At 43.9% G+C, this 23,961-nt stretch overlaps 1 protein-coding gene across 5 annotated transcripts in view, besides 1 other annotated feature; it reads left to right on the top strand.

Moving 5' to 3' along the window:
* The window catches only part of ACOX1 (acyl-CoA oxidase 1), a 37,660-nt gene that overhangs the window by 956 nt on the left and 12,743 nt on the right, over positions 1–23,961 (top strand). For 2 of the 5 annotated variants that reach the window (NM_004035.7, NM_001185039.2), the window contains exons 3-6: positions 17,836–17,996; positions 20,645–20,752; positions 22,264–22,383; positions 22,530–22,645. In NM_004035.7, the coding sequence (NP_004026.2) occupies positions 17,836–17,996; positions 20,645–20,752; positions 22,264–22,383; positions 22,530–22,645 (505 nt within the window). Of the gene's footprint in view, positions 1–4,425; positions 4,587–17,835; positions 17,997–20,644; positions 20,753–22,263; positions 22,384–22,529; positions 22,646–23,961 lie in introns of those variants that run through there. The other 3 variants (XM_047436182.1, NM_007292.6, XM_047436183.1) reach the window with 3 other exon arrangements.
* Positions 8,026–8,145: a silencer, noted in NCBI's record as "fragment chr17:73966147-73966266 (GRCh37/hg19 assembly coordinates)". NCBI's record gives its function as "represses an EF-1alpha promoter that drives an FKBP-Casp9 reporter gene in an ReSE screen in phorbol 12-myristate 13-acetate-treated (for megakaryocytic differentiation) K562 erythroleukemia cells {active_cell/tissue: K562(+PMA)}" and the evidence as "EXISTENCE:reporter gene assay evidence [ECO:0000049][PMID:32094911]".

The following is a 23,961-nucleotide window of genomic DNA, read 5'->3' as shown; positions in this document are numbered from 1 at the left end:
AGGCAGGAGAATAGCGTGAACTAGGGAGGCGGAGCTTGCAGTGAGCCGAGATCGCGCCACTGCACTCCAGCCTGGGCAAGAGTGCGAGACTCCATCTCAAAAAATAAATAAATAAATAAATAAATAAAGTTATATGTGTGAAAAATAATGTGATCACTTTTGTATCCAAGCCTTTTCGTGGGATGACGTGTTTGTAGAATGCTGATAATAAATGGAAATGCAGGAGTTTTTGTTCTCAAGAGTACAGTTTCAAGGATGTTGTAAAAGCATTGTTCTGCCCAAGCAACTCAAATTTGACTGATTTAAATGCAGAATCATTTTGCTCTTTGTAAGGAGGACTGCTAAAATTCTGAATCTGGGAGCATTTTTTTTTTTAGTTGCACGACCATTTAAATATTTTGGAGCAATAGCAGATTATATTATATGGTAGTGTGGACCTGGATGAAGAATGATCTGTGACGCCTCTGAATGAATAGAAAGTCTAAGAACCCAGTAGTTCTGAATCCATGACAGTGCTTGAATGGTTGTCTTGTGCATATGAGAGAGACGTCATAAAAACCTGCCTTGGTTCTAGTGTGGAAGAGAGTATATCCTTTTTTCAGACCATGTGTTTTGTTGTGTTTTTTGTTTTTGTTTTTGTTTTTTGAGACGGAGTCTCGCTCTGTCGCCCAGGCTGCAGTGCAGTGGCACGATCTCGGCTCACTCCAGCCTCCACCTCCCGGATTCAAGCGATTCTCCTGCTTCAGCCTCCTGAGTAGCTGGGATTACAGGCGCCCGCCACCACACCCGGCTAATTTTTGTATTTTTAGTAGAGATGGGGTTTCGCCATGTTGCCAGGCTGGTCTCAAACTCCTCACCTCGTGATCCACCCTGCTCCACAAGGAACGGTAAAAATAAATAAAAATAAGGACTTCGGGCCGGGCACAGTGGCTCATGCCTGTAATCTCAGCACTTTGGGAAGCCAAGGCAGGTGGATCACTTGAGGCCAGGAGCTCGAGACCAGCCTGGCCAAAATGGTGAAACTCTCTCTACTAAAAATACAAAAATTAGCCGGGCCTGGTGGTGCGCTTCTGGGGTCCCAGCTATTCAGGAGGCTGAGGCAGGAGAATCCCTTGAACCTGGGAGGCAAAGGCTGCACTGAGCCGAGATCACGCCACTGCACTCCAGACTGGGCAACAAAGAGAGACTCTGTCTCAAAAAAAAAAAAAAAAAAAAAAAAGACTTTTTTGCCTTAACCTAAACAAACACTATTACATGATCCTAGTACAAGATTATTTTGGCCTATAGCATTTTTTTCTCATTTATTCCTGGGCATTTTCTCTTTTAGGTTTCTCCATTTTAAAGGAACTCCAGTATTTTCATCGGTAAAGACTAAATCGTATGAGTGGTGTATAGACTAGAACCAAGCTAAATAGAACATGTTGCACGTTCTGCCTTTATGGTAATAATGGTCACTGCCTCTAGTGCCTTTGGTATCGATTTTCAGCTTGACTTGGGTTATTTTTGTGAAGATGAAATGGTTTACTCTGGCACTTTGGACTTTCCTCAGAGCTCCACTCAGTTTTAAACGAAAAAATTTTGTTTATTTATTTTTGGTAGTTCAAATCAGCATACTTCCAAATGGTCTGTTTTGTTTTTGAAGTTTGTAACTCATGGCTGTGGGGATATTGAGATAGAGTAACTCCTCCTAGAAGATTATGTTACTGATACCTGTGTTGTGTTTGTAAATTTGAAAAAATTAGTAAGATTTTATTCCTTCTTGAAACGTCAGGAAAAAAGTGGGTTGAGTGTGTGTGTGTGTGTTTGAATGGGTGGTGCAGTGCATTTCAAAGCTGATAGAGATGATTTCATAACCTGTGACCTGTTGATAATGTGAACCAGACTCGAGTGAGGTCACAATGAAATAGAACAAAGTCTTTTATGCGGGTTAAAGATTCATGGACACCGGGAAGTTGTTTTGTGTATCATTTTTCATGTGAAGTATTAAAGTACAAACTTTAACACACCCTTTGACACACTTCCAATGTCCTTAGGATATGACAAGGAGATCAGTTTTTAAGTAAGAGAAGGGGTTTGTAAATGAGTCCTGGAAATTATCGCATGCTATCGAGTTAAAGCCTCGGTTATATAATCTCATCGATTATAACTCACACCAGTGTTTTGTGTACCACTAAGAAAGAAAGAATGCTGCCAGTTAACCGTGACATGCTATTAATTGTGAAATACATCACCTTTCTTTCTTTTCTTTTCTTTCTTTCTTTCTTTTCTTTTCTTTCTTTTCCTTTCTTTTTCTTTCTCTTTCTCTTCCTCTTTCTTTTTCTTTCTCTCTCTTTCTTTCTCTCTCTCTCTCTCTCTCTGCATTTCCATTTATTTCCATTATCAGCAGGTGAAGAGGCATCTGCCACCTCACCCAGCTAACTTTTGTATTTTTAGTAGAAATGGGGTTTCACCATGTTGGCCAGGCTGGTCTCGAACTCCTGGCCTTGTGATCCACCCGCCCCTTCCTCCCAAAATGCTGGGATTACAGGCATAAGCCACTGCGCCTGGCTGAGAAAACATTTTTAACTGATGTTAATGAGCAGCTTCTAAACACATGATTAGGACGCAGAAGTCGTTCCCTCTGGTGGAATCTATAATGATTACATTAATTCATTTTGATTAATTAGAAATATTCGTATCTAAGAGCATCCATGTTGAGAGTTTTTTGTTTCTAAGTGGATTATGATTTATGTAAGATAGAAAAGACAATGGGACTGGGGCATGGTGGCTCACGCCTGTAATCCCAGCACTTTGGGTGGCTGAGGTGGGCAGATCACTTGAGGCCAGGCCACTTCATGACCAGCCTGGCCAACATGGCAAAACGCCTTCTCTACTAAAATACAAAATTAACCGGGCTTGGTGGCACACGCCTATAATCCCAGCTACTTGGGAGGCTGAGGCATGAGAATCACTTGAACCTAGGAGGCAGAGGTTGCCGTGAGCTGGGATCACACCACTGTACTCCAGCCTGGGCAACAGAGGGAGACTGTCTCCAAAAAAGAAAAAAAAAGAAATGGCGGGGATAACCGTGTAGTACTTATTTAGGAAATAGAAAAATAAGGGTATATTGTGTTTACTATTATTTCTTTCTTTCTTTCTTTTTTTTTTTTTTTTTTTTTTTGGAGACAGAGTCTCGCTCTGTCGCCCAGGCTGGAGTGCAGTGGTGCGATCTCGGCTCACTACAAGCTCCGCCTCCCGGGTTCACGCCATTCTCCCGCCTCAGCCTCCTGAGTAGCTGGGACTACAGGAGCCCACCACCACACCCGGCTAATTTTTTTTTTGTATTTTTCGTAGAGACGGGGTTTCACCATGTTAGCCAGGATGGTCTCGATCTGATGGTCTCGATCTCCTGACCTCGTGATCCACCCGCCTTGGCCTCCCAACGTGCTGGGATTACAGGCGTGAGCCACCGCGCCCGGCTACTATTATTTCTTTTAAGGTGGTAGTTTGGTTTCAGGGTCCCCCAGCACTGCAATGGCAGCCTATCCCTTCTGTCCTTTAGTTCATGCTCTGCTCATTGCACAGGTTAGGATAAACTGGTAGTAACATTGCTTCCTAATCATGTGTTGAGAAGTCGTGAAGATCAGTTAGATGAGATGTATTTTGTACTTTAAACTTTTTAGATACGAGCTTTGTCAAAGTACAAAATTGATCCCTATAAAATCTATGACACAGCACAGCCAAGGCCAACTACTGTGGATTCTGTTTTGTAAGAAGAGAGTTGAGGACTAAATTTCAATGTGATGTAGAGTTAATCCGTAGTAATGTTCATTGACCATTGGGGATAAATTTTTACATGCCCACATTACTTATTGTAAACCCTGAAGACCTTTAGCGATGTATGATTCTGCCCTGGAATATGTATTTACTCTTTTGGATATTTGCTTATATTATCTAGGGAAACATAGTTGAAATTATTTCTTCCTTGGAGCTCTTGTTAACAGCGCTATAAATAAGTGTTCTATGGAGTTATTTTTGCTCTTTGAAACAAACAGGTAAAACCTAAATAAAGCAAAAAAAAAAAACCACACACATTCTAAAAAATTCAACCAATCAAACCAGCAAATAACACCAACAACCTCCCCTTCCAAAAATTAGAGAAGTTTTTATGCTAAAACTTAGGTAGAATTTGCTTAGTGGATTAAATGTAAATACGAAATGAACTGTGGGAACTGTGGCCTTGAAATAATTAGAAGAAGAGAGATCATCAGGTTCTGCTGCTGGCTTTTTAGGTAGTAAAATGGTAAATCTTATATTTAATTTCATAAGAAGGGGGTTTACATTTTCCTGACCTTCTCCTTGAAGGCCAAAGCTGTTTGGCAAGAAGGGGTTGTAGGATGCAGTTTCTAAAGGAAGGCTGAGATCCTTTTCTCTTCTCTCCTGTAGACTACATTTGGTCAATTTTGTGGAACCTGTGGGCCTCAATTACTCCATGTTTATTCCTACCTTGCTGAATCAGGGCACCACTGCTCAGAAAGAGAAATGGCTGCTTTCATCCAAAGGACTCCAGATAATTGGCACCTACGCCCAGACGGAAATGGGCCACGGTTAGTCCACATTGAGGGTCTGTGGGTAACCCACCTCAGGACATCAGTTAACAGTGATTGCTGGCATTTGACTTTTTTCTGCTGCTACCTGTTTGGGATTCTATTTTTAAGTTGTTAAGTCAAAATTCAACTTCTTGTTTTCTCCTAGACATTTTCCCTGGAAACTGGTCCAGGGCTCTGGCCTATAAACGTCATTCACTGTTATTTCCTAAAGCCTTTTATTATTGAACAGCTTGAAAAGATGGGGTTTACAGTGCAGCGGGGAACCCCATTATGTTACTCTGGGTCTAATGAGTAAAGACTTTGTTGGAAATTCTTCAGAGGGTTAGTGCCTCAGCAATATCTGGAAAGCGCCTCTCTGCTCTAATGCAGTTAAAGCTGTGGATTTTAATGGGGGCAGCAGGCAGTGGCAGCTACCTGTCTCATCTCATTGCCCACTAGCAGGGTTATAAGGCAGTTTGGAAAAAAGTCCATGATTCTCTTCATCTGACTTCAGTCTTTTTAGACATTTTTTCCCCTACATGTCTGGGAACTCTTGTGTTGCCAGTAATTCTTTGTTAAATTGTTCCTAAATATCTGGCTTCCTTCAAAAAGTTTTGCTTTTGATCTTAATGTGAAATAGGTTTGTTTTCATAGACAAGGCCATTGGCAGGTTTGAGTGTTTGGAATTTGAACTGCCCAGCCTCATGTCTAATTATCAAAATGGCAGGAGTAAAGAAAGGGAAAGAAAAAGGGATGCAGATATCAGGGAAACATCATTTTGTGTTTGATTGCTGATTTCAGTGTGTGAATTGGTTTAAGGAAAATGTTATTTATTGTCATCTCCATGGGTACTGCAGCTTTCTGGTCATGGTTTGATGTTCCAGACACTTTACTAAACACTCAAGACTTCAACTTCAAGATGGTCAGTACTGAAATTATAAGCCTGAAAGAAAGGTTTGTAAAGGAAGATAAGATTCTTTTTTTTTTTTTTTTTTTTGAGACAGAGTTTTGCTTTTTTTGCCCAGGCTGGAGTGCAATGGCATGATCTCAGCTCACTGCAACCTCCGCCTCTGGGTTCAAGTGACTCTCCTGCCCGAGCCTCCCGAGTAGCTGGAATTACAGGTGCTCACCACCACGCCCGGCTGATTTTGTATTTTTAGTAGAGACGTGGTTTCTCCATGTTGGCCAGGCTGGTCTTTAACTCCTGACCTCAGGTGATCTGTCCACCTTGGCTTCCCAAAGTGCTGGGATTACAGGCTACAGGCGTGAGCCACCGCGCCTGGCTGACAGATCCTTCCTTTTTTTTTTTTTTTTTGGAGACAGAGTCTCACTCTGTCGCCCAGGCTGGAGTGCAGTTGTGCCATCTCGGCTCGGTGCAAGCTCCGCCTCCTGGGTTCACGCCATTCTCCTGCCTCAGCTCCTCAGTAGCTGGGACTACAGGTGCCCGCCACCACGCCCGGCTAATTTTTTGTATTTTAGTAGAGACGGGGTTTCACCGTGTAAGCCAGGATGGTCTTGATCTCCTGACCTCGTGATCTGCCCTCCCAAAGTCCTGGGATTACAAGGCATGAGCCACTGCACCCGGCCTGAGAGATAAGATTCTTTATGTAGTCCTCCTCGCTTGGAGTATCTGTGTGTTTGTGTACATGCATGCGTGGTGTGTGTGTGTGTTGTAATTTTGAAGTAGCTTTGTGGTACAGAACTCTGTTTCAGTATTCATCATTATAGAATTTATTCGACTTAACAGTCATGCTGTTCATAGGAGGCATAAGATGTGAAATAGTCTGAGGCTAATGGATTTGTTAAGTATACCTCTTACCTCTTGTTGGTCTAATGCTTCTGCCTCATTTATAAAGTAATATCACAAATATATATTTGCCCTAATTTTTTTTTTTTTTTTTGAGTCAGAGTCTCATCCTGTGCCCCAGGCTGAAGTGCAGTGGAGTGATCTCAGCTCACTGCAACCTCCACCTCCTGGGTTCAAGGGATTCTCCTGCCTCAGCCTCCTGAGTAGCTGGGATTACAGGCACCTGCCACCATGCCCGGCTAATTTTGTTATTTTTAGTAGAGATGGGGTTTGGCCATTTTGGCCAGGCTGGTCTCAAACTCCTTACCTCAGGTGATCCACCTGTCTCAGCCTCCCAAAGTGCTGGGATTACAGGTGTGAGTCACCACGCCCGGCCTGCCCTAATTTTTGAAAGGAGAGAGGAAGAAAGGAAGACTTGAACTATACTGGTTTGAGGCAAACAGAAGTTGGACAGAGATCCTATATGGCTGTGGGCAAGTTTGCATTTGTTAGAGTTTTCGTTCCCTTATTGCTTTTAGTTTTGGGTATTTTTTTTTTTTTTTTTGAGACAGAGTTTTGCTCTTGTTGCCCAGGCTGGAGTGCAATGGCGCGATCTCGGCTCCCCGCAACCTCCGCCTCCCAGGTTCAAGTGATTCTCCTGCCTCTCCCTCCCTAGTAGCTGGGATTAGAGGCGTGTGCCACCATGCCCGGCTAATTTTGTATTTTCAGTAGAGACGGGGTTTCTCCATGTTGGTCAGGCTGGTCTCGAACTCCCGACCTTAGGTGATCTGCCCGCCTCGGCCTCCCAAAGTGCTGGGATTATAGGCGTGAGCCATCATGCCCAGCTAGTTTTGGGTATTTTCTTGTATTTAAACCAACGTTGTCTTAATCTCTGTGGTTTAGAGAACAGTGTCCTAAGATTAGTCTTTTTTCTTGCTGGAATTTTGCTAATTCATATTGCTGTTCTTGGTTGATGACTGATCTTTTCCTTGGAAATAAGTCAGGTTGGTTAATTTGCATCACGTGACGGTTTTATCTTATATGGAATACACAAAAAGTCAACGTCCAGGAGATCGGCAATAGAGCAGCTTATATAGAATGAGATCTAACTATTTAAATTCTGAGACTTTGGAAAATGGATCAACAGTGAACAGTGATTATCTAACGCGGTCTCACAGAAGTAGCTGTAACTTTGGGTTTGGGATTCTTTCACTTCTGGGTAGCTGCTGAGAAGTGAAGGGGCTCAGAAGTATTCAGGTTCACTCCATGTTCCTTCCAAATCCTAAAATTCAGTCACCTACAGAAAGTCTCAGTCACCAGCATTATCCTTCTTTCTAGAGTGTGTCTTCTTTCCTCTAAGGACACGAAGAAACTCGGATATACACCTGCCCTGTGGGTCTGGGAGCCATAATCAAAGGCAGAGGCCTGAACCTGGGTGATAGGCTCACCTCCCTGGAGTTCTGGGATCAAAGGAACAGCCTGGGGAACTGGGTCCATGTTATCATCCTGACCATATGTTTCTTTAGGCCACAAAACAGGTCGTTTGTTTGCTCTTCACAGATATGTAATCATTTCAAGATGTGGCCATTTCTGGAGATTCTTCTTGCTTTGTTTTCCTTGTTTGCTTGCTTGCTCACTTCCTTCCTTCCTTCCTCTTTTTTTTTTTTTTTTTGAAGGAGTCTCATGTTGCCCAAGCTGGAGTGGTGCAATGGTACAATCTCGGCTCACTGCAACCTCCACCTCCCCCTGGTTGAAGTGATTCTCCTGCCTCAGCCTCCTGAGTAGCTGGGATCACAGGTGTGCACCACCATACCTGGCTAATATTTATATTTTTAGTAGAGACAGGGTTTCACCATGTTGGCCAGGCTGGTCTTGAACTCCTGACCTCAGGCGATCTGCCCACCTCGGCCTCCCAAAGTGCTGGGATTAGAAGTGTAAGCCACTGCACCCGGCCTCTTTCTCGCTCTCTTTCTGTCTTCTTCCCTTCCTCCATTCCTTTCGTTCCTTTCTTTCTTTATTCCTCACCCATGGACTGGGGTCACATTGCCTTGTTTCGTATTACCATCTATTTAGGAATATAGAGATTGTATGATACATAGTTATCCTTGAAGCTGATGCAGTATCCTGGCAAATTGCCATCATTAACACTTAAATATGAAATAATGCACCTTTCTTTGAAACTGGAAAGAGGTAGTAAACTTGATTTTTAAGTCATCAGTCTTTACCGCACTCCGTTGCCCTCTCTCCCTAGGCTTAACAGTCTCCTCTTCCCTCTGCCCAAGTGATTCTCTTCCCTGTTGGACTTCTCATGAGACTTGCTTCCCTGGGGATTTGGGCTAAATTTCACCAATATTAGTGATAATAATATAAACTTTATGAAAGCTGTGTTCTGGCCAGGCACGGTGGCTCACGCCTGTAATCCCAGCACTTTGGGAGGCCAGCGTGGGTGGATCACCTGAGGTCGGGAGTTCGAGACCAGCCTGACCAACATGGAGAAACCCCGTCCGTACTAAAAATACAAAATTACCTGGGTGTGATGGTGCGTGCCTGTAATCCCAGCTACTAGGGAGGCTGAGGCAGGAGAAGCTTTTGAACCTGGGAGGTGGAAGTTGTGGTGAGCTGAGATTGCGCCATTGCGCTCTAGCCTGGGTAACAACAGTGAGACTCCGTCTCAAAAAATAAATAAATAAATAAATAAATAAGACGCTGTATTCTTTGGGGTCATACTTCTGGAATACCTCTCAGAAATGAATTACTATATTGAGGGACATGAGCATTTTAGAGCTTTTGCTGCATAGTTTGAGGCTTTTCCTGAAACACAGAACCAGTTGACAATATATTGAGCAAGCTCTGTACCTGTATTTCCACAGCTCCATCAACGTGGTCACTTTAATTTATTTTGCTACTTTAACATATTTCTTTTTTTTTTTTTTTGAGACGGAGTTTTGCTCTTGTTGCTCAGGCTGGAGTGCAGTGGCGTGATCTCGGCTCACCGCAACTTCCGCCTCCCGCATTCAAGCGATTCTCCTCCCTCGGCCTCCTGAGTAGCTGGGATTACAGGCATGCGCCACCACGCCCGGCTACTTTTGTATTTTTAGTAGAGACGGGGTTTCTCCATGTTGGTCAGGCTGGTCTTGAACTCCTGACCTCAGGTGATCCGCCCGCTTCAGCCTCCCAAAGTGCTGGGATTACAGGCATGAGCCACTGCACATGGCCTACTTTAATATATTTCTTTTTTTTTTTTTTTTTTTCAGGCGGAGTCTCGCTTTGTCGCCCAGGCTGGAGTGCAGTGGCATGATCTCCGCTCGCTGCAAGCTCCGCCTCCTGGGTTCACGCTATTCTCCTGCCTCAGCCCCCTGAGTAGCTGGTACTACTGGCACCCTCCACCATGCCCGGCTAACTTTTTTTTTTTTTTTTTTTTGAGACGGAGTCTCGCTCTGTCGCCCAGGCTGGAGTGCAGTGGCGGGATCTCGGCTCACTGCAAGCTCCACCTCCCGGGTTCACGCCATTCTCCTGCCTCAGCCTCCCAAGTAGCTGGGACTACAGGCGCCCGCCACTACGCCCGGCTAATTTTTTGTATTTTTAGTAGAGACGGGGTTTCACCGTTTTAGCCAGGATGGTCTCGATCTCCTGACCTCGTGATCCGCCCGCCTCGGCCTCCCAAAGTGCTGGGATTACAGGCGTGAGCCACTGCACTTGGCCTACTTTAATATATTTCTAACACTTAATGTTTTAATTTCCCATTACTAGTAAGCCTGGATGTTATTACGTGTTTTGATTTACTGTTTGTGTTTTCTATGTATAAAATACGGTTTTTTGGCTGGGTGCAATGGCTCTCGCCTGTAATCCCAGCACTTTGGGAGGCCGAAGTGGGTGGATCACTTGAGATCAGGAGTTTGAGACCAGTCTGGCCAACATGGTGAAACCTGTCTGTACTAAAAATCTAAAAATTAGCTGGGAGTGGTGGCGGCACCTGTAATTCTAGCTACTCGGAAGGCTGAAGCAGGAGAATCGCTTGAACCTGGGAGGTGGAGGTTGCAGTGAGCCGAGATCGTGCCACTGCACTCCAGCCTGGGTGACAGAGTGACATGCTGTCTCAAAAAATATATATATATATACGTGTATATATATATATGTGTATATATATATGTATATATATGTATGTATATATATACGTATATATATGTATATATATGTATGTATATATATACGTATATATATGTATGTATATATATATGTATGTATATATATATATATTTCGATTTTTTAAATTATTTTCTGCTTTGCTAAACGTTTTTGCTTTATATATTTAACACATCCTTCTCTGCATAGGTATAAATTTTATCTTTTCCATAACTTGGATAGTTTTCTTCTGGGTTTTTTTTTTTGAGACATAGTCTTCCTCTGTCACCAGGCTGGAGTGCAGTGGCATCATCTTGGCTCACTGTAACCTCTGCCTCCTGGGTTCAAAGCCATTCTCCTGGCTCAGCCTCCCGAGTAGCTGGGATCACAGGTGCCCACCACCACACCCAGCTAATTTTTGTATTTTTAGTAGAGATGGGGTTTCACCATGTTGGTCAGGATGGTCTCGATCTCCTGACCTTGTGATCCACCCGCCTCGGTCTCCCAAAGTGCTAGGATTACAGGCGTGAGCCACCACGCCCGGCCTCTTCTGTTTTCTTCTAATATTTTTGTTTGGTTTCTGTTTAATGATTTGACTTGTATATGATACAGAGTGAGAATGAATCTCATGGTTTTCTAGATTTTTTTTTTTTGTACTTCTTTTTTCTTTTTTTTGAGAGACAAGAGTCTCACTCTGTCACCCAGGCTGGGGTGCAGTGGCGCAGCTTCCGAGATTTCTAATGTTCATTGTTAACTAGTGGCTTTTTCCCATTATTATCTTATTCCCATTATGTCCTTTCTGGTTTGTCTTAGAGTTTTATAATAGGTTAAATTTATTTCTGGAACCTTAAATATATTACATTGATAGGTTTATTTCTTTCTTTGTTTTTCTTCTAACATAAATTTTGACCACTGGTGCTTTATAAAATTTTTTTGAGACAGAATCTCGCACTGTCACCTGGGCTGGAGTGCAGTGGCGCAGTCATGGCTCACTGCAACCTCTGCCTCCTGGATTCAAGCGATTCTACCTCAGCCTCCCCAGTAGCTGGAATTACAGGTGCCTGCCACCACGCCCAGCTAATTTTTTGTATTTTTAGTAGAGACGAGGTTTCACCATGTTGGCCAGGCTGGTCTCAAACTCCTGACCTCGTGATTCACCCACCTCGGCCTCCCAGAATGCTGGGATTACAGGCGTGAGCCACCGTGCCCAGCCAAGACTTTTTACTCTATTTTTATTTTTATTTTTTATTTTTTTATTTTAATTTTTTATTTATTTTTAAGACGGAGTCTTGCTCTGTTGCCCAGGCTGGAGTGCAATGGTGTGATTTCAGCTGCCTGCAACCTCCGCCTCCCGGGTTCAAGCGATTCTCCTGCCTCAGCCCCCTGAGTAGCTGGGATTACAGGCGTGCACCACCATGCTCAGCTAATGTTTATATTTTTAGTAGAAACGGAGTTTCACCATGTTGGTCAGGCTGGTCTCAAACTCCTGACCCCGTGATCCACCCACCTCAGCCTCCCAAAGTGCTGGGATTACAGGCACGAGCCACCGCACCTGGCCTTTATTTTTTATTTTATTATTTTTATTTATTATTTTTTTTCTTTTTCGAGATGGAGTCTTGCTCTGTCACCCAGCCTGGAGTGCAGTGGCATGATCTCAGCTCCCTGCAACCTCTGCCTCCCAGGTTCAAGCAATTCTTCTGCCTTAGCCTCCCGAGTAGCTGGGATTACAGGCATGTGCTACCATGCCCATCTAATTTTTGTATTTTTAGTAGAGATGGGGTTTCACCATGTTGGCCAGGCTGGTCTCGAACTCTTGACCTCAGGTGATCTGCCTGCCTCAGCCTCCCGAAGTGCTGGGATTACAGGAGTGAGCCACTGGGCCTGGCATATTTTTATTTTTGAAAGACGGGTTCTTGCTCTGCTGCCCAGGCTGGAGTGCAGAGGTTTGATCATAGCTCACTGCAGCCTTGATCTCCTAGACTGAAGGGATCCTCCTGCCTCAGTCTCCCGAGTAGTTGAGAGTATGGGCTCGTGACACCGCGCCCAGTTGATTTTTTAAATTTTTAGTAGAGATAGGATCTTGCTGTGTTGCCCAGGCTTGTAAGGTATTTAAAAATCTGATAGGATAAGCCTACTGTTGTTACATTTCAAGATACGTGTATTTGGTATTTAAGCTTGCTTATTCTAGATGAATTCTGATCTGAATCTGTCAGGTTCTAAAAAAAAATTCTACAGGAATTAAATGTGTTTTTCTCCTTCTCTATCTGGAATTTTAAGTTAGTTTTATATTGAAGCCTTGTCTTTTCTTGGGAAGCTATTTCTTTCCTGTTATTTTTATCTTTTTTTCCCACCCTATTAGGTATTTATCTTTTTTCTGGGTTTTTTTTTTTTTTTTTTGAGACAGAGTCTCGCTCTGTCGCCCAGGCTGGAGTGCAGTGGGGCGATCTCGGCTCACTGCCAGCTCCGCCTCCTGGGTTCACGCCATTCTCCTGCCTCAGCCTCCCGAGTAGCTGGGACTACAGGCGCCCGCCACCACACCCGGCTAATTTTCTTGTATTTTTAGTAGAGATGGGGTTTCGCCGTGTTAGCCAGGATGGTCTCAATCTCCTGACCTCGTGATGCGCCCTCCTCGGCCTCTCAAAGTGCTGGTATTAACAGGTGTGAGCCACCACGCCTGAGTGCTGTTAATTTTTTTTCCCTTATAGCCTGCAGCTTTTCTCAATTCACTTATTGTGGTATTTTGTTGACATTATTGATTTCCTAGGATGATACTCATGCTTTCTACAGAGCTGCTTTTTATTTCTTCCTTTCTCATATATGATTAGTCTAATTGGTTTTTCCTCAGTATTGATTGTCAGCCTTTCCAGCCTTGTATCATGTGGAAAGAGAGGCTGGGGATGCCTTTTGATGTTTTGGTTTTAAAAGAGCTGACTCTAGCCCTTCACTAAGTATAATGTTGGTGCTTCGTAATTTTACGATAAATTATTTAAAAATAATATCTTTATCATGCATAAGCAGCTTTTAAAACAAATACTTGGCTTAAGTCAAAAAACTATGCAGTTCACTTTCTCCTTGTAACATTTCTAAATTTCATCCACATCTGAATAATCCTTGTCTTATTTGGAAGAAATATTTTTTTCCTGAAAACATTCTTTAGTGTCAGAACCATTTGTGATTATAGTGGTTTTACCCCTGCCCTACTGAGCGCATTTGTTGTAACCCTTAGCGTGCATCTTCACTCTGTGGTACACTCAGATGTAAATCTTCCAGAGGCTGATGGGTGCTTGATAGTGGCCTTTCCTTCACCAGGAATTGCTCTGATTTCTAGTGAAGTAAAATAACCTTCCATAAAAGCATGAAAAGTGTCTGGTCCCAGGTTTCAGTCCTAACTCAGTTTTCACCTTCCAGGTTCTAAGTGCACATTGAATTTTCTTCCTAGACAGTACTCAAAAGGCTGGGGACAGTTGACATTTCTGTTTGAGTGAAAGGCACTCTCATCCCATGAATGTGTTTTTCTTGGGATTTCCGCTATTAATTTTTTTTTTTTTTTTTTTTTGAGATGGAGTCTTGTCCCCCAGGCTAGAATGCAGTGGTGCGATCTTGGCTCACTGCAACCTCTGCCTCCCAGGTTCAAGCAATTCTCGTGCCTCACCCTCCTGAGTAGCTGGGATAACCAGCGCCTGCCACCATGCCCAGCTAATTTTTGTATTTTTAGTAGAGATGGGGTTTCACCATGTTGCCCAGGCTGGTCTCGAACTCCTGACCTCAAGTGATCCGCCCACCTTGGCCCCCCAAAGTACTGGGATTATAGGCATGAGCCACCGTGCCTGGCCTTTTTTTTTTTTTAATTTTGAAATGATTGTAGAGTCATAGGAAGTTACAAAAATAGTACCAGGAAACCCTGTGAACCCGTCACGGAGTCTCTACCAGTGGTGACACCTTGTGGGATTTCCATTTTTGAGGCTTCTAAGGACAGCCCTGGCTTTTTCAGCATGTCTTTTTAGCATCTTCATTACAGTCACAGTCTTTTTTTTTTTTTAGATAGAGTCTTGCTCTGTTGCCAGGCTGGAGTTCAGTGGCACGATCTCCGTTCACTGCAGCCTCCGCCTCCCGGGTTCAAGGATTCTTCTACCCCAGCCTCCCGAGTAGCTGGGATTAGAGGCTGGCGCTGCCACACCTGGCTAATTTTTGTATTTTTAGTAGAGAGGGGTTTCACCTTGTTGGCCAGGATGGTCTCGATCTCCTGATCTCATGATCCGCCCACCTTGGCCTCCCAAAGTGCTGGGATTACAGGTGTGAGCCACCGCGCCCGGCCTGCAGTCACAGTCTTTAGTCCATGCTATGCTTGTGCAGTAATTTCCCCAGCTAGGAGACAGGACGAGGTGACAAGGTGGTTCTTTTTTTAAAAAATAGGTTTAGGGGGTACAAGTGCCATTTCCTTACATGTATATATTATGTAATGGTGAAGTCTGGGATTTTGCAGTACCCATTGCCCAAATAGTGAACATAGTACCCAGTAGGTAACTTTTCAGGCCTCATACCCCTCCCATCCTTCCACATTCTGGAGCCTCCAGTGTCTGTTTTGTTCGTTGTTGTTTTTTGTTTTTCGAGACAGAGTCTCTGTCGCCCAGGCTGGAGTGCAGTGGTGCCATCGTGGCTCACTGCAACCTTTGCCTCCTGGGTTCAAGTGATTCTCCTGCCTCAGCCTCCCAAGTAGCTGGGATTACAGGTACCCACCACCACGCCCAGCTAGTTTTTGTATTTTTAGTAGAGATGGGGTTTCACCCTGTTGACCAGGCTGGTCTTGAACTCCAACCTCAGGTGATCCCCCTGCCTCGGCCTCCCAAAGTGCTGGGATTACAGGCGTGAGCCACCGCGCCTGGCCCCTGTGTCTGTTACTCCATTCTGCATGTCCATGTTTTACCCCTTGCTCAGCTCCCATGGTGACGAGATTCTTGTCCTTGTTTTGCCATTTTCTTTTTTCCCTGAGCAAGGCATTTAATTCATCTCAGCCTTAATTTCTCCTCTGTAAAATGAGGGATTCAGTCACACATACTTTGATTTTTCTTTTTCTAAAGTGTGATTGCTTAGCTGAAAGCCTAGCCACTAGATTGGAAGAAGTCATTGATTAGCACTTGTCTGAGCAGTGTGCCCTGGTTCTTTTCCTCCCTACCTTGCAAGGAACAAACAGCAATTTAAAAACTGAACTGTCATTTATGCTCATTTCAAAGACACATAGAATGATAAGAGCAATATGGAGTTGACGGATTTGGAGCTGGCAATTACACAGAATACCAGTAATGTGGAAAAATGCAAAGGCCTATAGAACGACTTCCTATCCCTAGCAAAAATTCACACAGAATCCTGTCCCCTGCACGTTTTAAGTGGAAAAGAATGACCCCAGAAAGTTGATTTAAAACTAATAAAGCTGTTTATTATCATTAATGATAATTTCTGTATAATTGTCACGGAGAGCTTATGCATGAATCTGTAACTTGTCGTTATTATGGTCTTCACTAGAAATTGCATGTCTTTTTTAATTTCTGAAATAAATTATTGGGATGAAGAGCACTGTCAGTTTTTGTATTAAAGTGTTTCAGTAGAGCGTGGCCGAATATTTGACATGATGAATCTGAATGAAATGATCAGAGCTATGTGAGGAATATGGTTCTACGCTGGATGTTTTGTGGACAAAACAGAAAAAAAATCCCAGCCTAGAAGCATTATTGAAATTGCATCGAGGAAAAACTATAATCTGGGGGTCATACTGTCACTCTGAGAGAACTACTATGTTCTGTCTCGCTTTCTCATCAGAGGAAATCCTTGTACCAGTACCACTCAAATTCTCTGTTCTCCGACTCCTGGCTTCAAGCGATTCTGCCTCAGCATCCCAAGTAGCTGGGATTACAGGCACATGCCACCACACCCAGCAAATTCTCCATTCTATACAACTTTTTTTTTTTTTTTTTTTTTTTGAGACAGAGTCTCGCTCTGTTGCCCAGGCTGGAGTGCAGTGGTGTGATCTCGGCTCACTGCAACCACCGCCTCCCAGGTTCTCCTGCCTCAGTCTCCCAAGTAGCTTGGATTACAGGCATGTGCCACCACACCTGGCTGATTTTGTATATTTAGTAGAGATGGGGTCTCACCATGTTGGTCAGGCTGGTCTTGAACTCCTGACCTCAGGTGATCCGCCCACCTTGGCCTCTCAAAGTGCTGGGATTACAGGCATGAGCCACGGTGCCCGGCCTTTTTTTTTTTTTTTTTTTTTTGTATTTTTAGTAGAAACGGGATTTCACTATGTTGGCCAGGCTGGTCTCAAACTCCTGACCTCAAGTGATCCGCCTGCGTCAGCCTCCCAAAGTGCTAGGATTACAGGCATGAGCCACCATGCCTGGCCCTATACAACTTTTCAAATTCTCTCTCTCTTTTTTTTTTTTTTTTTGAGATGGAGTCTCACTGTGTCGCCCAGGCTAGAATGCAGTGGTGTTATCTTAGCTCACTGCAACCTCTGCCTCCTGGGTTGGAGCAATTCTCCTGCCTCAGCCTCCTGAGTAGCTGGGATTACAGGTGTGCACCACCATGCCTGCTTAATTTTTGTATTTTTAGTAGAGACAGGGTTTCGCCATGTTGGCCAGGCTGGTCTTGAACTCCTGACCTCAGGTGATCCACCCACCTCGGCCTCTCAGAGTGCTGAGATTATAGGTGGGAGCCACTGCACCTGGCCAATTCTCTCTTATTTATTTATTTATTTTTTTTGAGACAGAGTCTCACTCTGTCACCCAGGCTGGAATGCAGTGGGCATGATCTCGGCTCACTGCAACCTCCGCCTCCTAGGTTCAAGCGATTTTCCTGCCTCAGGCTCCCAAATAGCTGGGACTACTGGCTGGCGCCACCACGTTCAGCTGATTTTTGTATTTTTAGTAGAGTCAGGGCTTTGCCATGTTGGCCAGGCTGGTCTCGAACTCCTGACTTAAGGTGATCTGACCGCCTTGGCCTCCCAAAGTGCTGAGATTGTAGGCATGATCCACTGCACTGGCCTCTCAAATTTTCTTTATTTCCTTTGATTTAATTCCTGGGCGAGGATCCTCTGCCTTGCACGTGTGGTTTTGTGCTGCATTGGCTTTGGAATCAGTAACCAATCCCTGTCCTCGTACTCCTTGCCGACTCAGGAAAAATGGAAATTAACAAGAGCTATAAAGTAATACAGAAAGGGACAGTGCTCCCATCTATGATTAAGTGCACGCAACTAATTCATACTTAAGGTTTTTTTGTCTCCTTCCCTTGCTCTATTTAAATTGCTGATTCTCTCACACCTGATGACTCTTCTCTCAAATGCCCATCCTTGATATTTCCTCGAAGTTTTGTGCACCGAGGGCGGCCTGAGCCTCTGGATCTTCACTTGGGCATGTTCCTGCCCACCTTGCTTCACCAGGCAACTGCGGAGCAGCAGGAGCGCTTCTTCATGCCCGCCTGGAACTTGGAGATCATTGGCACTTATGCCCAGACAGAGATGGGTCATGGTATGGAGTATTCAGTCTACCTTCTGGGTTGGGCGGGCCCCTGTGAGCTTACCATGTGTGGAGTGCCCACCATGTGCCATCGATGGTGTGTCGATGTTCTATGGTCTGTTTAAATGAGCTCTTTCTGCAGAGTCCAGGTTTTGGTATAAACACTGCTTTGGTGAGTGGGAATTAAAGACCATGATACTGATAAAATGATTGTCCTTTTTATACCATAGTTCCCCTTCAGAGGGTCAAGAATTGCAAATCAGGCCTTATTTACCAAGTGGTTTTTCAATGTTACTGAGGTTGTATAGAATCTGTGTGCATATACAACCCGAAGCTGTTTTTTTCTTCATTACTATCTGATTACCTTTACTACTGATACCTTAATGAGTACAAATTCCAGAAGAAATACAAATAATAGTTTGTGTACTCTTGGATTTGCTTGAGGGAAATGAGTAGCTTATAACTGACGTGTGTGACATTTTGGAGTTATTTGTACTTTGAGTCAATCAGTAGTTCTGCAAGTGACTTGGCTGGAGAGTGAAAAAACCAAGATAAGCCGAACTTGCAGGCATTTGGTTTCAGACTCTGTATCTCCACCTTTCATTGATCTTTCCACCCCCCACCTGCTTTCTTCATGCACCTGGGTGGGCTGGAGGTGGCCGCTGTTCCTCTTTGTATCTTCTCTGAATTGGGTCCGTGTTTGCCATTCATTTGCTTATGGCTTCTCTTTTTCTGCTCTGACGTTTCAGAAAAACTGGTCTAGTGTGTATTTGCCACTTGCTCCTTATTTCTATACAGCTGCTGCTTTTTATTTGGTGTTGAATAGTATTTTACAGGATTTTCATGAGACTCCAAGTGGAATACTATTTGTTTCAGTTGTGCTTTTGAAAACATTTTGTCCTTATCTGTTCTGTTTAATGTTATCTGCTTTTCTGTAAAAGCTGCTTCTTTGATGAAAGATGTCTGTGTCTGATTTGTTGACTCCCACTCGGGAAAGTTGTGGATTGCACATAAGTTGGTTATTCAACTTGGAAGCTTCTAAATGTTTCAAAGTGTGTTTAATGAGGTCTAAGCGTTATGAAAGCAGATTGGTAAAAGGTTCCCAACGTTTGCTTTAGTACAGTATTTTTGTAGAGACTGCCACCTAGAACATTTTTCTATGACTCTTTTCAAATAATTTTGATATATTTGTGTTAAGATTTAAAACATAAGATCCTGTCTATCCCAGTACACATAAGAAACTGGAAACTCTTCCTTGCCACATTAATGAACCAGCAGGACTAAGTTAGGCCTGCCATTGGAAATCTCTAGGGTCAACTGAGACCTTATTATTGGACCTTTAGGAATTTTTAAAAGTCACATTTCAGGTCATTTCCCCAATAACAGTTATACTTTTATACTTTTTTTTTTTTTTTTTTTGAGACGGAGTCGTGCTCTGTCGCCCAGGCTGGAGTGCAGTGGCGCGATCTCAGCTCACTGCAAGCTCCACCTTCCGGGTTCACGCCATTCTCCTGCCTCAGCCTCCCGAGTAGCTGGGACTACAGGCACCCACCACCATGCCCAGCTAATTTTTTGTATTTTTAGTAGAGACGGGGTTTCGCCGTGTTAACCAGGATGGTCTCGATCTCCTGACTTTGTGATCCGCCCGCCTTGGCCCCCCAAAGTGCTGGGATTACAGGCGTGAGCCACCGTGCCCAGCTTTAATTTTTTTGTTGTTTTTTTAGTAGAGACGGGGTTTCACCACTTTAGCCAGGATGGTCTCAATCTCCTGACCTCGTGATCCCCCCACCTCGGCCTCCCAAAGTGCTGGGATTACAGGCTTGAGCCACTGTGCCTGGCCTTTTTCTTTTTCTTTTTCTTTTTTTTTTTTTTTTGAGATGGAGTCTTGCTCTGCCACCCAGGCTGGAGTGCGGTGGCACAATCTTGGCTCACTGCAACCTCCACCTCCCGGGTTCAAGCAATTCTCCTGCCTCAGCCTCCTTAGTAGCTGGGACTACAGGCGCATGCCACAATGCCTGGCTAATTTTTTGTATTTTTAGTAGAGACGGGTTTCACCATGTTAGCCAGGATGGACTCGATCTCCTGACCTCGTGATCCACCCGCCTCGGCCTCCTAAAGTGCTGGGATTACAGGCATGAGCCACCACGCACAGCCATACATTTTTAATTTATACGAATTTTGGCTGAAATGTCTTCCTCTCACATGTTATCTCATTCTTCTCATTAGTACAGAATTCAAGAATGTTGAATTGGTGTGGTTAACACAATACATATGACTTGAAATTGGCATACTTGCAACTCAGAGATGGGTTTAAAAAGACAGTTAACATCCCTGTTAAATTCATATATTGTGATCTTAAAAATGTGATTCTAAGTTGCCTTTATATTTTCTTTCAGTTGCTGTAAATAAATGTAACAAATCAAATACAGAAATGGAACATGCATGACACTTAGATTTTCAACTTAATAGGAAACCATCAGATAGTGTGGGAAATTCAGTGTCTTGGTTATCAACCAGTTGTAGCTCATCTACAGGTGTTTTTTGTTAGATTTTGTTTTTCTCTGAGATATGAGAGTTTAAAGGACTGTGCAGGAAATTTTTCCTTGTGCCTATTTTTTTCCCCATCTCTTAACTGAAGTCAATGTAATTTATCTCCTTAGGAACTCACCTTCGAGGCTTGGAAACCACAGCCACGTATGACCCTGAAACCCAGGAGTTCATTCTCAACAGTCCTACTGTGACCTCCATTAAATGGTGGCCTGGTGGGCGTAAGTGAATTTTTCAGCATTTATTGGATGTTTTGAAGGTTTGTCATGAGATTTTGCTTAGAATGTAGAGCTTTTATGATAATGTCGGCCAGACTTGGTGGTGAAATCCTAACACTTTGGGAGGCTGAGGTGGGCAGATCACTTGAGGTCAGGAATTCAAGACCAGCCTGGTTAATATGCTGAAACCCCATCTCTACTAAAAATACAAAAATTAGCCGGGTGTGGTGGCGCACACCTGTAGTCCCAGCTACTTGGGAGGCTGAGGCAGGAGAATCACTTGAACCCGGGAAGGTTGCAATGAGCCAAGATTGCACCATTGCACTCCAGCCTGGGCATCACAGCAAGACTTTGTCTCAAAAACAACCCAACAAACAAATATATGTGTGTGTGGTGTGTGTACATAGAGGGGTGTGTGTGTGTGTATATAGACAGAGAGAGGTGTGTGTGTGTATATATATATATATATATATATATATATATATATATAGAGAGAGAGAGAGAGAGAGAGAGAGAGAGAGAGAGAGAGAGAGAGAGAGAGAGAGAGAGAGGAAAGCCAGGCATAGCGGCACATACCTATAGACCTATAGTCCTGGCTACTCAGGAGGCTGAGGTGGGAGGACCACTTGAGCCCAAGAGTTCAAGCCTGCAGTGAGCTACTATCTGTGATCATGCCACTGCACTCCAGCCTGGGTGACAGAGTGAAACCCTGTCTCTTAAAAAAAAAAAAGAAAAAAATTTAAATAGTTTTAACACAAACTTTTTTTTTTTTTTGAGATGGAGTCTCACTGTGTCACCCAGGTTGGAGTACAGTGGTGTGATCTCCGCTCACTGCAACCTCCACCTTCTGGGTTCAAGCGATTCTCCTGCCTCAGCCTCCTGAGTAGCTGGGACTACAGGAGCGTGCCACCACACCCAACTAATTTTTGTATTTTTAGTAGAGATGGGATTTCATCATGTTGGCCAGGCTGGTCTCAAACTCCTGACCTCTGGTCTGCCCGCCTCGGCCTCCCAAAGTGCTGGAATTACAGGCGCGAGCCACCGTGCCCGGCTGACCCGAAACTTTTATATCTTCTTATTCCATTCTGAGTTATTATCTTGGAATATATATTTCCAATACAGTTAGTGGTTGAAGGATTTTGTTATTCACATTATATATTTTATTTATTTATAATTTATATGTAAGAAGCCACATGTAGCTAGTGATTACTGTTTTGGACAGCACTGCCTTAAGGGATAACAAGGAAGTAGTTTAAATTAATATTCTTATTTTTATCCTAAAATTTTCTCTACGTAAATGTATGAGAAATAAGTAGAAAAGAAAGTAATAACTATTAGCTTAAGGGAATTTCTTTCTGAAAGCTAGGTGTGATGCTGTCAGCAGAAAGGCTTTCTGGACACATACTATTGGTTTAGTCTAGTGTTAGATTTAACATATTCTTTCTTCTTTTTTCTACCCTTTAAAAATGTATGAACGTTTGCCCACCCCTCCCTTGTTCTCTTTGATATTACAGTTGGAAAGACTTCAAATCATGCAATAGTTCTTGCCCAGCTCATCACTAAGGGGAAATGCTATGGATTACATGCCTTTATCGTACCTATTCGTGAAATCGGGACCCATAAGCCTTTGCCAGGTAAGAACTGTTCATCTGATGTTGAGATGAAAATGAAACTGAGCACTTTCTTCTGCAAAAGGTAGAATGCCCAACTGAAGAGGCGGAGCAAAAGCCAGAAATTCCAGAGCATAAACATCTCGTGACTGTCCTTTCATCTGTGGTAGGAATTACCGTTGGTGACATCGGCCCCAAATTTGGTTATGATGAGATAGACAATGGCTACCTCAAAATGGACAACCATCGTATTCCCAGAGAAAACATGCTGATGAAGTATGCCCAGGTATGTTTTGATAGAAAATAAAGCAGAGGCATCAAACAGTGGAGTTGAGTGGCTGTTACTCACAATAGGGTTAGAATGGTCTGTTCTTTTAGAAGGTAATAACAGCAGGGCACACTGGCATATTCCTGTTATCCCAGCACTTTGGGAGGCTGAGTGCGTGGATGACTTGAGCCCAGGAGCTCAAGATCAGTCTGGGCAACATAGTGAGAACCCATCTCTACAAAAAGTAAAAAAATCTAGCTGGGTATGGTGGCACACGTGTGTAGTCCCAGCTACTTGGGAGACTGGGGTGGGAGGATCACTTGAGCCTGGGAGGCCGAGGCTACAGTGAGCTGTGATTATGCCACCGTACTCCAGCCTAGATGACAGTGAGACCTTGTCTCAAAAAAAAAAAGGAGGCTGGGCGCAGTGGCTCACACCTGTAATTCCAGCACTTTTGGGAGGCTGAGGCGGGAAGATCATGAGGTCAAGAGATGGAGACCATCCTGGCCAACATGGTGAAACCCCATCTCTACTAAAAATACCAAAAAATTAGCTGGGCGTGGTGGTGCGCACCTGTAGTCCCAGCTACTCAGGAGGCTGAGGCAGGAGAATAGCTTGAACCCGGGAGGCGGAGGTTGCAGTGAGCAGAGATCATGACACTGCACTCCAGCTTGGCAACAGAGTGAGACTCCGTCTCATAAAAGGAGGGAATAAGGCTGGGCGCGGTGGCTCATGCCTGTAGTCCCAGCACTTTGGGAGGCCAAGGAGGATGGATCATAAGGTCAGGAATTCAAGACCAGCCTGACCAATATGGTGAAAACCTGTCTCTACTAAAAATACAAAGATTAGCCGGGTGTGATGGCACACGCCTGTAATCTCAGCTACTCAGGAGGCTGAGGCAGGAGAATCGCTTGAACCCAGGAGGCAGAGGTTGCAGTAAGTCGAGATCACACCACTGCACTCCAGCCTAGGCAATACAGCGAGACTCTGTCTCAAAAAAAAAAAAAAAAAAAAAGGAGCTAATAATGCATTTTTCCTTCTGATGCCCCTTTTTTTTTTTTTTGAGAGAGAGAGTCTCTGTCACCCATGCTGGAGTGCAGTGGCGTGATCTTGGCTCACTGCAACCTCCGCCTCCTGGGTTCAAGCGATTCTCCTGCCTCAGCCTCCCAAGTAGCTGGGATTACAGGCATGCGCCACCACACCCAGCTAATTGTTTTGTATTTTTAGTAGAGGTGGGGTTTCACCCTGTTGGCCAGGCTGGTCTCAAACTCCTGACCTCAGGGGACCCTCTTGCCTCGGCCTCCCAAAGTGCTAGGATTACAGGCATGAGCCAC

This window comes from Homo sapiens, chromosome 17 (genome assembly GCF_000001405.40).
Source record: "Homo sapiens chromosome 17, GRCh38.p14 Primary Assembly".
Taxonomy (NCBI): domain Eukaryota; kingdom Metazoa; phylum Chordata; class Mammalia; order Primates; family Hominidae; genus Homo; species Homo sapiens.
Note: the sequence above shows the minus strand (reverse complement) of the source record. Positions and strands in the feature narration are given on the sequence as shown.